This window comes from Homo sapiens, chromosome 15 (genome assembly GCF_000001405.40).
Source record: "Homo sapiens chromosome 15, GRCh38.p14 Primary Assembly".
Classification (NCBI taxonomy): Eukaryota; Metazoa; Chordata; class Mammalia; order Primates; family Hominidae; genus Homo; species Homo sapiens.
The window spans coordinates 77,479,016-77,493,028 of NC_000015.10; the positions used below are offsets into that span (position 1 = coordinate 77,479,016).

Below are 14,013 nucleotides of genomic sequence, written 5' to 3' on the forward strand. Positions count from 1 at the left end.
ATGTGGACTAATTTCATTTCTTTGAGATCTAAAAGTCTCTCCTCTAAAATTAAAAGCATGTCTGTGGAGCAGACCACATTAGAATCACTGTTTCTTTGAAATTGTGTTTTATGGTACAACTGAATAGGGAGGATTTTCTTACTTTCTTCTTATCTCACTTCAGGAAGTGGAGAGACACCTACAGTGGACACCATTGACTCATATATGAACAGACTGCACAGTATTATTTTAGCTAATCCCCAAGACAATGAAAACTTCATAGCTACAGTTCGAGAAGTTGTGAACAGACTCGATCGTTAGGGAATGGTGAGTGCTCACTGATAAATATTTATATGCCAGCACATCATCAAAAATAAGATGTCATCAGACTTTATCAATACTACTAAAACCCTGGGATTACATTGGATGAACAAGTTGGAGACTTGGTTAAGATTCCTGTTGCATGGTTGTTAAATGTAGTAAATAATATTAGAAAAGAGAATCACTGTAGTCCCAGCTACTTGGGAGGCTGAGGTGGGAGGATTGCTTGAGCCCAGCAGTTCAAGTCCAGAGAGATCCTGTCTCTAAAAATAAAAGAAAACAGACTCAAGACAGTTTTTTCTTATGCTTGCTTCAGAATGGTTTAATGGGAAAAGCATGGTTTTTGTGGCTTGACCTCATTTCTAGCTTTGTCACTTATTAGCTGTATTCTTGGGCATTAGTTTCCCAAAAGGTTTTGAAAAGTGAGTGGGAAACTTAGAAGAAATCATCCCCAAAACAGCACTCAGAACAAAATAAATATAACTTAATTTTTAATCTTCCTTTTCTCTGGAAAATACTAATGATAATTTAGAAGTAGTCAGTGAGACATTGTATGTATGTGAGCCTACATAAGTAGGAAGCTTTTATATTCACCACTCAATAACACAGTGACTGTTGTCTGTTAAATGTTGATGTGGACTCACCATACAAACAGGTAACTCCCTGGTTTTGATAGATTAAAAAATAAACTCTTCAGCCAGGTGCAATGGCTCACACCTGTAAGCCTAGCAGTTTGGGAGGTCAAGGCAGGCAGATCGCTGGAGTCCAGGTTCAAGACCAGTCTGGGCAACATGACAAAACCCCGTATCTACAAAAAATACAAAAAATTAGCCAGGCATGGTGGTATGCGCTTGTGGTCCCAGCTGCTTGGGAGGCTAAAGTGGGAGGATCACTTGGGCTTAGAAGGTCAAGGCGAGGCTGCAGTGAGCCATTATCAGACCACTGCATGCCAGCCTGGGTGACAGAGCAAGACACTGTCTCAAAAATTTTTTTAAATAAAAAATAAATAAACTCTTGGTGGGGCACAGTGGCTCACACCTGTAGTCCTAGCACTTTGGGAGGTTGAGGCAGTATTGCCTGAGCCCAGGAGTTCAAGACCAGCTTGGGCAAAATAGTGAGACCCCTGCTTTAAAAAAAAATGAAAAAAATTAGCTGAGCATGATGGCGCACACCTATAGTCCTAGCTACTCAGGAGGCTGAGGCAGGAGGATCACTTAATCCCAGGAGTTCAGGTTTCAGTAAGCTAGGGTCACACTAGTGTATTCTAGCCAGGGTAACAGAGCAAGATTCTGTCTCAAAAAAAAAAAAAACAAAATAAAAATATAAAATTCTCAATAAGCAAAAAAGAGAGAGAAAATAAGTTTTTAAAAAATATGTTCAACAAATGAGCAGTAGTATGTATCCTTTTTTTTTTTTTTTTCCAGAAGAGATCTACCCATGACACTTTTTGGTACTAATGGTCATTTCTCAAATGGAATTGGTATTTATTCATTCAAATTCCTAGAGATAGGATACCCCTTTACTATGCCATCCCACAAAACTGGCATCCCTTTGCTCTATTGGTTAAGTTATTCCATACCTGCAGACATATAAACTGTGTGGAAATTTTAAGATTAGACTCTACAATGAGGTGGCCATATATGGATACTAAAATAAGAGTCAACAGCAGGATATGTTCCTTAGAATGGTCATGGGTTTGAATCTTTATTTGTCCTGTGAGTACATGAGCACACTCATATACATAATTTATATTCTGGTTTGGTTTGGACTTTGAGCAACATATATAAAGATAAATGCCTAGTAAAGACAAAGGCAGAAGTCTTTATACTTCTTGGTGATGCCCTTGGATGGTAACTGTACAAGGCAATGCATTATATTTTAGCCTCAGCCATGCTCTGATGGGGAAAGGATTACTATCCTTCTAGGGAGTAGCCAGATGGAATGGACTGTACTTCTTAGAGATGGCTGGACTCCCTGCAGAATAAAGAAGTGGCATTACTGCTGCTGCTTATGAAGGGAACAGCTTGTAAATCTAGGCCTGGGATATTCAGGAGCTCATCATCCTTCCCATTTTCGTACAGTGTTTTCAATTAGCACTCTTGTAGGCTTGAAAAGTGAGAGCTGGGAGAAACAGTGTGGAAGATTGTGAAAGAAAACATTAATTGATAACATCGTGTCTCTTCACATAGATACAGGGCAGCTAATTAAGTATTGACCCAAAAGTGGTTTTCCATTTTGAGCATTTTGCCAGTAAGACTCTCCTAAAGCTTTTTTCATCTCAAGAGTATAAACTATATTATTTGTTTTCTGATGAGTCTTTGAAAACTTAGAATATTACTATTATCCTTGATTTTAACCTACAAATATTTTGCCCCTGAAAAAATAGCTAAAAGTGTGAACTGTTATATTACTACAGATTCTTACAGTCTAGCCATGCAAACATAACTAACAATAGATGGTTCCCCACACCCCCAAAACTGTCAAAGGAAACAATTACAAAGACTGTGATTAATACTGGTTTGGCCTCATTATACAAATATGTACAGACAGCGAGGCTGATGTCCCCAGCACTCATGATGCAATTAATTACTCTGACAAGAGTTTGGCAAAGTTTTCATCCACTGTCAGGAGCCAGTGAGTGAAGGGAAGCTAATGGTCTACAAGTTTCAGAGGAGCATATTAGGGACCTTTAGAAATCTAACATTTTATATATGAAGAAACTGAATCCCAGAGAGGAGAAACATCTTGCTTGAAAATATCTGCGTAGATGAGTACAGAATCCAAGACTAGAACCACAGATATCTAAACTCTCTCATTCACTGGGTTTCTAAAACATTGCTCTAAGGAAGAGGTGGATGGGGGAAGGGGAAAGCACTAAAAAATCCTGAAATAGAGCATTAAGATACATAGGAAGTAAACAGATAAAAATTGTAATCCAGGAATTATAATGTTATAGAATTTTAGCTCATTTTAAAATTATTTTGATAAATATACAGTGGAAGAATTACCCTACCTGTCTGTCACCTTTCTTGTAGCTGAGTAGTACCTAGAGACAAGTGGAGCTAGGAGGAGGCCATGAGGGTGATTTTAAGTTGAAAGGTGACTACCTTATATAAACTATTAAAATGCATATGTTGCCTGATTTCAATGATAATATTTGGCTGTTTGAGTTTAGGGAAAAAAAATCTTATGTGACTGTATTTTTATTAATATGAGAAATGTTCTTGATTATATGCACATAATACATCTCTATACATGCAGATATCCTTAGTTAACACTTGAAGAAAATTGGTTTTGATTGACCATACATTCTTCAGACTAAAGTAGGGTACTCATTTTCCCTCCTCAGGTTTGTCCCTGATAGTTGCTTTTCTGTGTTTAGCTGATGATTTTCCTACCTCCCATTGTTGCTGAACTGGAACAGGGCCATGTTTCTCATTGAAATGTTATGTAAAACATCTCAATGAGGTTGCCTGCTTACAGCTTTATGAGTTCTTCAGTTTACATACACCCTGCACTCACTTTAACGCTTATGAAACCAAAGCATTTTTAAAATCCATAGCGCTAACCCCTTCCATTCAATACTTACTTTCTTGGTGTTATTTTCCTTGTTTGTTTTTGTTTTTGTTTTGTTTTGTTTTCCTGATTCTACAGGTCTTAGAACTCCAAGATGTTCCATAAGTGTTTTTACTTGTGAGGAATGAGAAGCCATCCATGGAAATTTGAACTGAGTGGGGGCAGAGAAAGAGTGCAGATCCCTTTGCTTGTGAAAGAATTATCAGTGAGTGAAAGGCCATCACCCCAGGAAGCCAAATGAGGGAGCAGCAACATGTATATGAGCTTCCTATGGAATTGTCCTTATGTGAAGCTTTGAAGGTGTACAGCCACTCTCCCGGGTCTTCAGGTTCCTACCATTTCCATTTCTGTTAAAGTGGATCTGCATATCTTCAGCTTACTAGGTGACCCGGATGCTGACATCTGCTGCTGCAGAAAGGAAGACTTTTCATTGTAATTTCGCTTAGACCCTTTTATCAGTGGAGCTCCAGTTTTCTTACCTAGCTGTCACTTTTTTAAATGCCTCTGGGGGTTATTTTTGCTTTCCTTGGCCCCCACCAATTTATACATCTCCATTTTCTGACCTCTGGACTAACTGGTTGCTCAGCAAGGTTCTGAAGGAGAGTTTCTTGCATTGGACAGGCCCAGTCTTCTCCCATCATTGCCCTGCTGTGACTCCAAAGAAAGGAGCTTCTTGCTGACAGTGCCCTGTGGAGCAAGGCTGTGTTTCCTACCCCACACGGTGCTCAGTGGGTGCCAGCCCTCAGTGTGGCTTTGTGATTGCTGCCCTAAAGGAGAATGCTCTTTCCTTCCTCACTGGTACTGCCTGCTGTTTTCTAAGCATTGCTCCTGCACAGACATGGAGTCCCAGCCCCAGCAAGGCTCTTCTGTTCCCATCTGTTGACAATGTCTTGTGGAGCATTTTTGCTGAGGAAAAGGTCACTTGTAAACAGAGGAGAAAGGGAAAGAGTACAAAGCCCTAAGTTTATTGTAAGTGAAAACTGAGGGAATTCCTGTCTTCTTTAGGAGTAATGATTCATAGATCTAGATAGGTGGAAATATCATTCAAAATAGTCACTTGAGCTCACAAAAAAAGCAAGGAAGAATTCTCATGTCCTTTGTCTTCCTTCTGTAGCCATTAACTGCTGAATCCATGTGAGGAAGACAGGCTTCCCTTCCTTCCCCCTCCTTAGTGATTTTTTCTTTAACAGCATAAGTAAAGAGGACTTTCTGGTTCATTTTTGTTTGTTTTGTTTTGTTTTGTTTTGTTTACAGATGAGGTCTTCCTGTGTTGCCCAGGCTGGAGTGCGGTGGCTATTCACAGATGCTATCATAGCACACTACAGCCTACAACTCTTGGGCTCAAGCATCACGCCTAGCAGTTTCTGGTTCCTTTAACAGCAAAAGGAAAGAGAGGTTCTGATTCTTACCTCAGGGTTTTTTGGTTGTTCATTGTTTTTGTTTTTGTTTTTGTTTTGACACTGCAGAGCACAAGGCTAAAGGTTACAGCTGAGATCTTTGGAACCAAAGGCAGAGCAAGCAGAGCCCGTTGTCTGGGCCCCACACCACTGCAGGCAGGTGGATAGAAGTGCGGCCCCTCTCATAGTATGCCCATAAGTCAGGGCATAGGGCAGAACTACCTGTCATGTTGCTACACCATCCTGTCTTCTCAGCATCTCCTTGCCTGTTTTCTTTATTAGTCCAAAGGAAAACAACAGCAACAAAATCTGTTTTTAAAATGTCTTATATGAACATATATCAAATATCCATGCGCTGAAACCCACATACCATCACTTGGCAATTTTTTAGAATAAGACCCCATTATTATCTATTGCTATAAACCTAGCCAGTTCTCTTGCTCTTCTGTATTTTCCTATTTCCCTGCCATCATCTGCTATTTCTGCCACTTCTCTTAGACTCCTTGTCTGCAAAGCCCAAGCTAGAACTCACTGTCTATGGCAGAAGGACATCCAGAGCCCATTCTGGAGTTTTGTTTTTTCCTTCTGCCAGATGCTTTGTGTCCTGTCTTCCTTCCTCCTCATATTTCTGTTTCTCATTTGTGTTCAGTTTTGTGCAGCATTGCTAGCACTGCTTTTGTGACCAGAAAAGGCCATAACATGGTCCAGGATCATCATTCTTCTGACTCTAGATGGGACACTTGACAGTGACTTGAAACATTTGCATATTCAGGAATGCATGAGATTTCAAGAGAGCCTACAGTATGAAATCATTTTCACAAAATAAGCAGCTTGCTTCTGAAATGCTGTCTTTCCCAGTAGCTACTCACCTGCCTCTGGTGGCTGGGATTCAGATGCCACAAAACTGTCAGTATCTATAGACCAGGTCTGTGCCACCTCCTCTCTCCTCTGTGCTCAGTGAGGAGGCAGTAAATGAAGTTACAGGCTAGCACAATACCTAACTCATGTTTCCCAGTACACCTGTAGATATTACTGTACTTTTATGTTCTCAAGAAATAAGTTGTTGCCTATTCAGTGTTACAGATTTCTTTGTTTCTTTTTAATTAAAATACAAGAAGCAGCTGAGGAAAGGGAGACAAGGTATTTTATTTCTGACTGATTTTAGAAAAAACTTGTGTACATGTGTTTGGAACTGTTGAAATGCCAAGTTTTCTGTATAAGTGTTTTTGTAATTAAACTTTCAGATTTTCTTTGTTTTTTAAGAAGTTGATGTGCTTGTTTGACATTTGTCTCATTAAAACTTTTCTACGTTGAATTCACCTGTTTCAATTTTACTTGCTTTGTAACAAAAAGTCCTACCTCTGGCCGGGCACGGTGGCTCATGCCTGTAATCCCAACACTTTGGAAGGCCAAGGCAGGCAGATCACGAGGTCAAGAAATCGAGACCATCCTGGCCAACCTGGTGAAACCCCGTCTCTACTAAAAATACAAAAATTAGCCGGGCATGGTGGCATGAGCCTGTAGTCCCAGCTACTCAGGAGGCTTAGGCAGGAGAATCACTTGAACTTGGGAGGTGGAGGTTGCAGTGAGCCGAGATCGTGCCACTGCACTCCAGCCTGGCAACAGAGCGAGACTCCGTCTCAAAAAAATAAAAAATAAATAAAAAAGTTCTATTTCTGTTTTTTCCTCTTAAAGACTTTGTCAACTCTACATTAATCATGACATCTGTTATGCTTTTAAAACAGTAACACATTCATTTTACTAATTGCTACTTCAAAATGTATCTTTACCGGTTTGAGAAGTCAGCTCTTTTAATGTATGCTGTAACAATACAGTGAATTCTAATTCATTTTAATATAGCAGTAGTATTCTGAAGACAACTTACAAGGATGTTTTTAAAGTCAGTGACTCTGATGTCCCCTTGATAGAAGATCATTTGATAGAAGAAAGGAGATGTGCTTAAATGCTTGCTTTTTTTTTTTTTTTTTTGAGATGGAGTTTTGCTCTTGTTGCCCAGCCTGGAGTGCAGTGGCACGATCTCCGCTCACTGCAAACTCCGCCTTCCAGTTTCAAGCGATTCTCCTGCCTCAGCCTCCCGAGTAGCTGGGATTACAGGTGCACGCCACCATGCCCAGCTAATTTTTGTATTTTTAGTAGAGACAGGGTTTCACCATGTTGGCCAGGCTGGTCTTGAACTCCTGACCTTGTGATCCACCAGCCTCGGCCTCCCAAAGTGCTGGGATTACAGGCATGAGCCACCACGCCCAGCCAAATGCTTGCTTTTTGAAAATAACTAATCAAAATATTTTTAAAGGAAATTTGTCACCTATTTCTACTATGCTTTTAAAAATCCTAGGGGTGAGGCAACCTGGTTTCCAGAGCCTGCTGCTCTCCAAGTAGCCATTTGTGTGGCATTGGGCAAGTCTTGATTTGTTTCAACTCCAGTTTCCTCTTCTGACATAACACGTGCCTCAGCAATCCTGTACTATTGTAAGAAGGATAGAGTAAGGTAACAGAATCCACCTTGCCTTGGAGGACAGGAAGATAGGAAGTATCTGTTACATGATTGCCAGTAACTATCAGGGTATCTCAGTTAGGATTGAGTTTGGCTCTACATTAAGCAGAACTAGCAACAGCTTAAATAAGAAGTGTGTCTTTCTCATAGAAAACTATGCCAAAGTTGGGCAGTTAAAGGCTAGTATGGAGGCTCCTGTCTGTTCCACAACATGATCTTTCTCAAGGTCACCCCGTGGTCCAAAATAGCCACTTGACCATCAGCCATCACTCTGAAATTCCTGGCAGCATGAGGAAAAGAGGGCAAGGACAAAATGAGCAAACCTAGCTGAGTCAGGGCCCTCTAAAGAGTCTTCCTGGAAATCGTATTCAACACTTTCACTTAATTTGGCCAGAACTCAATCATGTGACTATAGCTAGCTATAAAGGAGGCCAAGAAATATCATTTTTGCATGGACGTCACTGTGCCCAACAATACAGGTTTTAGTAAGGAAGAAGGAGAAAATGAATATAGAGTAGGCAACTAATGTTAATTTCATAACTATGTGTGACTTCATTTATGCACTCTAAGCCCAACCCCGCCATGCTAGTGAATGGAGTGCATTATCTTGCCTTTGTCTCTTGGCCATTTGAGAATGACCATGTACTTCCGTGATACTTTTTTCCCCCGGAGAGCCAGAAAGCCAAAAACTGGCTTCCATCTGAGTTGCCATTTCCTGTTCCCATCTAGCTCTTCCCCTACCCTACAACAGCTGGTGGCCAGTCTTGTTTAGTAAAAATCAACATAAACAGGTGGTAATACTTCCCCTAGTTGTTTGTTCCCTTTCTCTAACTGCTCAGCATCTGCTGAATTGAAACAACACCAGGACAAGCTTTCCCTAAGGGTGGGGAAATTGAAGTATTGCTTAGCGGAAAAGCTCATAGCTACTTCCTGCCCTCTGAAAGAATTTCCTGCCTTGCAACTGAGAGTTCCAAGTCAGGGGTTTTTTCTTTGTTTTATTTGTTTACCTTTGATATATAGCCTGCACTCAAATATATACTTCAGTATCTATGGATATAAGCAGTAGTTTATATGCCAGCCCATTAAAGAAATCAGGATTGAGAATCAGACTAGGTGAAATTGTTAATGTACATCTGCTCATCCAGAAACCATTTCAGTTTAGTTTTCACAAGACTATGTGTCTACAGGGGGAAACTTTTGCCAGAGGTAGAAATGTAAATTCTCTTAGCTTAGTGAAATGCAAAAGGAGGAGCCACAAGAAGATAAGAATGGCATTGGGAAATTAAGTGCATGGCCAATGCAGATTTTCCAGATAGAAGGATTTTTATAAACCACCTGCAACACCAGATCAGTGGGAGGATGTCTTATATGTTTATGTGGGAATATGTAAGATTCAGTGTAAGAGATTCTCTTATTTGAATCTCTCTCTCACACACACACACCATCCAACACTTAAGAGCCAGAGTTTTTTATACCAACTTCTCTTCATTTCACTTTAATTCACCCTTTATTTGGGAATACAAAGATGTTTATAAAACATGGTTTCTGCCCTCCATAATTTCTGATAATCTAGTGGGAAGGACAGACTTGTACATAAATATTTCTAACATAGGGCAGCTTGTATTAATAGTTTTAATAGAGACAAATAATTTTTAGAGAGTGAAAAAGTTATTTGAATCTTACCTGATGAGATATTTTTTCCATAAGTGCAAAAGAGTTTGCAATAGAGAGTAGATCTGAGTCAGGGTGGGGGATCAGTATCTTAACTAATTAATAAGGGCTTTATCTGGAATGTAAATGAAATATGAAAATCTGAACTGATAGCTATCAGAGTTTGTCTGGTAGAGGTTGAGGTAGCTGGAAGGTCAGAACATTTGGATTAATTGTAATTTAGACAAGCAGTTTTTCAAAGTTCACTTTTGATTCATTCATAGATCATTAAATCAGTAAGTTGGTCAAAAACATTTTTAAAAATTAAAATGAGAAACTATCAGAATGCACTACAGGTAGTTAAGGGTATTATTTTGTGAAACTTACACTTCAGATACAGTCATATGTCTACATACACTTTTAATGTAAAATGTGTTTCTTACCATGGGATCACAATAAAGATAGTCAATGACTGTTTTATTACCTCTGAAATTGGACAACACTGCTGGGTTCAGGTCTGGATTCTGCTGCTTTCCTCTTACGTGACCTTAGGCAAGTTGCATAAACCACTGTATGACTTAAGTTTTCTCATCTGTAACATAGTGATATTTATCATTTCTGTCCTGTAGAGTTTTTATGTAGATTAGTCAATCCATGTAAAACACTTAGAATAGTGCCTCTCATAGAGTAGAAGACACTTAAATATAAGTTGTTATAATTTGTGGAAGACTAAAGGGAAAAGAGAAATAACAGACATATACCATAGGCCACTCTGCTGTGCTTTTTATGTAAATTATGTAATTCCACAACTTTACAGAGTAGGACTACTGTACTCATTTTTACAGTAAGTAAATTAAGACACAGATCTGATAAGTGACTTGTGCAGTTACAGAACAGGGAACAGGTAGAGAAATGGTTTATATCCAGATAACTGTGGCTTTACATTCCACTATAGCCGTACTGTCTTAGAGATAACTAATGAGAGTGGCATGAGTTCAAAGCCGTAGCATGGTATGGTGGGTCTGAGAACTGGAATTAGACCTATTCAACAATATTTGTTGAATATCTTTCTTGCGTTAGAAATTGTTCTGGGTCCTAGTCCCCATAGAGCTCTTCCCCTTGCTGGGGAAAAAGAGACTACAAACAAGTAACCTAACAAACTCATCTCAGCTAATTACCTAGATAAGAAGAAATGATATAAGCTAGGATAGAGAAAGGCCTTTCTGAAAAAGTATCTTCTGAAGAAAGACAAAATTGATTTGAAGGAGCCAGCCCGGTGAAGGGCTGAGGGTATACAAAGGCTGAAATCCTGAGGCAGGAATGAACTCTGGAATTTCAAGGCATAGAAAAAGCTGGTGAGGCTGGAGCAGAGTAAACGAGAGGCAGAGTGGCTTTGAAGTTGCAAGGCAGGCAATAGCAAGATCATGTAGATCCTCAGAAGTGTCGTAAAGAGTTTGCAGTTTGTCATAAGTGTAATGTGAAGAGAGTTCTACACAACTGAGTGACAAGATCTGATTTCTGTTTTTAAAGGGTCACTCTAGGCCGGGCGTGGTGGCTCATGCCTGTAATCCCAGCACTTTGAGAGGTGGGAGTGGGCAGACCACTTGAGGCCAGGAGTTGGAGACCAGCCTGGCCAACATGGTGAAACCATGTTTGTATTTTTCTACTAAAAATACAAAACAAAATTAGCTGGACGTGGTGGCGCGCATCTGTAATCCCAGCTACTCAGGAGTCTGAGGCATGAGAATCCCTTGAACCCAGGAGGTGGGGGTTGCAGTGAGCCAAGATTGTGCCACTGCACTCCAGCCTGAGTAACAGAGCAAGACTCTGTCTCAAAAAATAAAAAGTAAAATAAAATAAAGGGTCACTCTGGCTGCTGTATAGAGAATTGTGGGGTGGGCAAGAGAAGAATCAGAGAGACTAGGAGAAGGCTGGCATAGGAACCCAAGTGAGAAATGACAGTGGCTTAGCCTAGAGTGGTGGGAAAAGGCAGATTAATTCAGGATATAGTTTGGGAGTATAATGGACAGGAATTGCTGAGGAGTGGGATGTGGAGAATGAAAGAAAAAGAAGAATGACTCAGTTTTTCCTGGGCACAGTGGCTTACGCGTGTAATCCCAGTACTTTGGGAGGCCAAGGCGGGTAGATTTCTTGAGCCCAGGAGTTCAAGACCAACCTGGGCAACGTGGTGAAACCCCATCTCTATAAGAAAAAGAAGAAGAATGACTCAGTTTTTTTGGCTTGGAAAACTGGGTAATGGAGAGAGGTGCCATGGCCTGAGATTGCAGACTTAAGTATGAAACATCACGGAAGAAAAATCAAGGATTTGTTTTTGACTGGCTAAACTTGAAGTCCCAACAACAGATGAGCCCCTGGGCAAGACACACATCTCCCTGCTATCAGTTAAAAAGTTCCTTTCAGTTCCTAAAAGTCTGTGGTTCCTTGAGATTCTAAGTTCAGGTCAGTGTTTGCTAACATTCCTTCTATCCTCAGCGCATGTGCACACATGTAGATCCAGTTACGTTGTGCGTTGAACTGTGAAATTAAGGAATGGTCTCCTTTTTAATTCTTGACGCTTCTTAGGAAAAGAATTTTTAAAACTTGCATCTGCATTTGTTTAAGATTGACATAAAGCAGCTGAATGTTCTAGGATATAAAAATCATGCCATAACCTGACCATTAGAAAATCCTGGGGCAAGAAATGGAAAGCGTCTGCTTAAAAGAGACTGGTCAAAAATATATTTGGCATCATTCAAAGAAGGGTAATGTGAGAAGACATCACTGATACAGTCAGAAGGTTTAAAGACTCAGCAAATGGGCTCCTGTGAGGGGTGCTTTTGCTATCTTCAAGGATAGAAGTCAACTGAAGGCAGCTGGGTCCAGGCACTGGAATGTAAGACAACAACCTATTTTTCTTGGGGCCGGTGGATTTTTGAAGTAGACTTATGTTATATTTATCAAAAGAATTTCTTGGTTTAAAGGACAAACTAATATAGTAATTATGGATTTTATTCATCCCTCAGAAGAATGAGTATTTTAGATACATTCATTTTTTCAAGCATTTCCAAGTACTCACTATGTGTTTTGGGTGTAAAGTTGAGGAAGTCCCTCTCCACTGGAAGCCCACAATGTAACAAAAAATAGATACAAAAGCTAACTACAATAGGGTCTGATAAATGATCAAACGGCTGTGAGCGCAGTATTCTGGAAAACACAAAGGAAAAATTCAGTGGTTTTGCTTGGGGGAAGGCAAAAGAGCTTTACCAGGATAACATTTTGAGCTGGGCCTTAGAAAAAGAGTAGTTCCTTAAGATAAGCTAGAAATAGACCTAGAGATAGAAGTACATTTTTGGTGTACTCAAGTAATTCAGCGTGACTGGAACACAGGTTATATCCAGGGCACTGACCAAAAAGAAAGATAGTGAGGTGTTCTGAAAATGGATTGTAAATGGGCCTTGAATGTCAAGCCAAGGGTTTTAGCTTTTGTTTTGCAGGCAGAGGGAAGGCCTCAAGGCTGTTTTTGCAAGGCAGTGACATAAGGAAAACTACACCACAGCCTCTCAACCATTTTTCTGCCACGAGCTGCTTTGGCAATCTGGTAAAGTCTATGGACCCTTCTAGGAATGTTTTCTAAGTGCATAAAATACAAATAAAATTACAAAGGAAATCCACTATATTAAAATATAGCTAACAAAATATTAACAATGTGTTATGTAGGAATACCTGTGCTTCTTGATAAAGCATTAAATAACATGATCTAGTTCTAATAATGACCATAATTTTAAAGTAGTAGTGACCATAAATAATATTTCAACATCTGCAATGTCTATAATATAGTATGAAAATATCTGTGATCTTGTTGGTGGCAAAGTCACAGGTCCTGCCAATACTACTGGGGCTTGTTGCCAATGTTTATAATCAAAAGAAATGCAAATTTTCAATTAGAGGTTTGTGAAAATCAAAATGTAATTTCCCCCCATCCATTATTGTGGTCCTTAGCATAAATACTCTTGAATTCAAGGCAGTATGGAGATAGACTGGTTAGGAGACTGTTAAAATAGCCAGGATGGAAGGTAAGAAGAGCATGCAGTCGGGGGCTGGGTATGGTGGCTCACACCTTTTGGGAGGCTGAGGCAGGAGGATTGCATGAGCTCACAAGTTCAAGACCAGACTGGGAAACATGGTGAGATCTCATCTCTATAAAAAAAAAATTTTTAATTAGCCAGGCATGATGGGGCTCCAAGATACTTGGGGGGCTGAGGTGGGAGGATTGCTGGAGCCCGGGAAGTCGTGGCTGCAGTGAGCCATGTTCATACCATTGCACTCCAGCTTGGGTGACAGAGCAAGACTCTGTCTCCAAGGAAAATAAATAAATAAAGAAGAGGAAGAAGAAGAGCATGCAGTGGGGATGGAGTAAAGGAGCAGAGGAGATTAGAGACATTTGGGAGTTTGACTTGGTTCCTCCCAAAGCTCAGTGAGGAATTCTTCAAGGAGGAATTTTGGGTAACTGTGGTCTGGTGGGGCGGGTTCACCAGGAAGGCAGTGTAAATACCCTTTAGGCAGCTCTCCATATGC

At 40.1% G+C, this 14,013-nt stretch overlaps 1 protein-coding gene across 7 annotated transcripts in view; it reads left to right on the top strand.

The window, feature by feature from the left end:
- HMG20A (high mobility group 20A) overlaps positions 1-14,013 on the top strand; it is a 99,163-nt gene that overhangs the window by 58,128 nt on the left and 27,022 nt on the right. For 3 of the 7 annotated variants that reach the window (NM_018200.4, NM_001304504.2, NM_001304505.2), the window contains 2 exons: positions 164-306; positions 3,955-6,588. In NM_018200.4, coding sequence (NP_060670.1) covers positions 164-300 — 137 coding nt within the window. In that variant the 3' untranslated portion in view covers positions 301-306; positions 3,955-6,588. Of the gene's footprint in view, positions 1-163; positions 6,589-14,013 lie in introns of those variants that run through there. The other 4 variants (XR_001751049.3, XM_011521158.4, XM_047432109.1 and 1 more) reach the window with 2 other exon arrangements.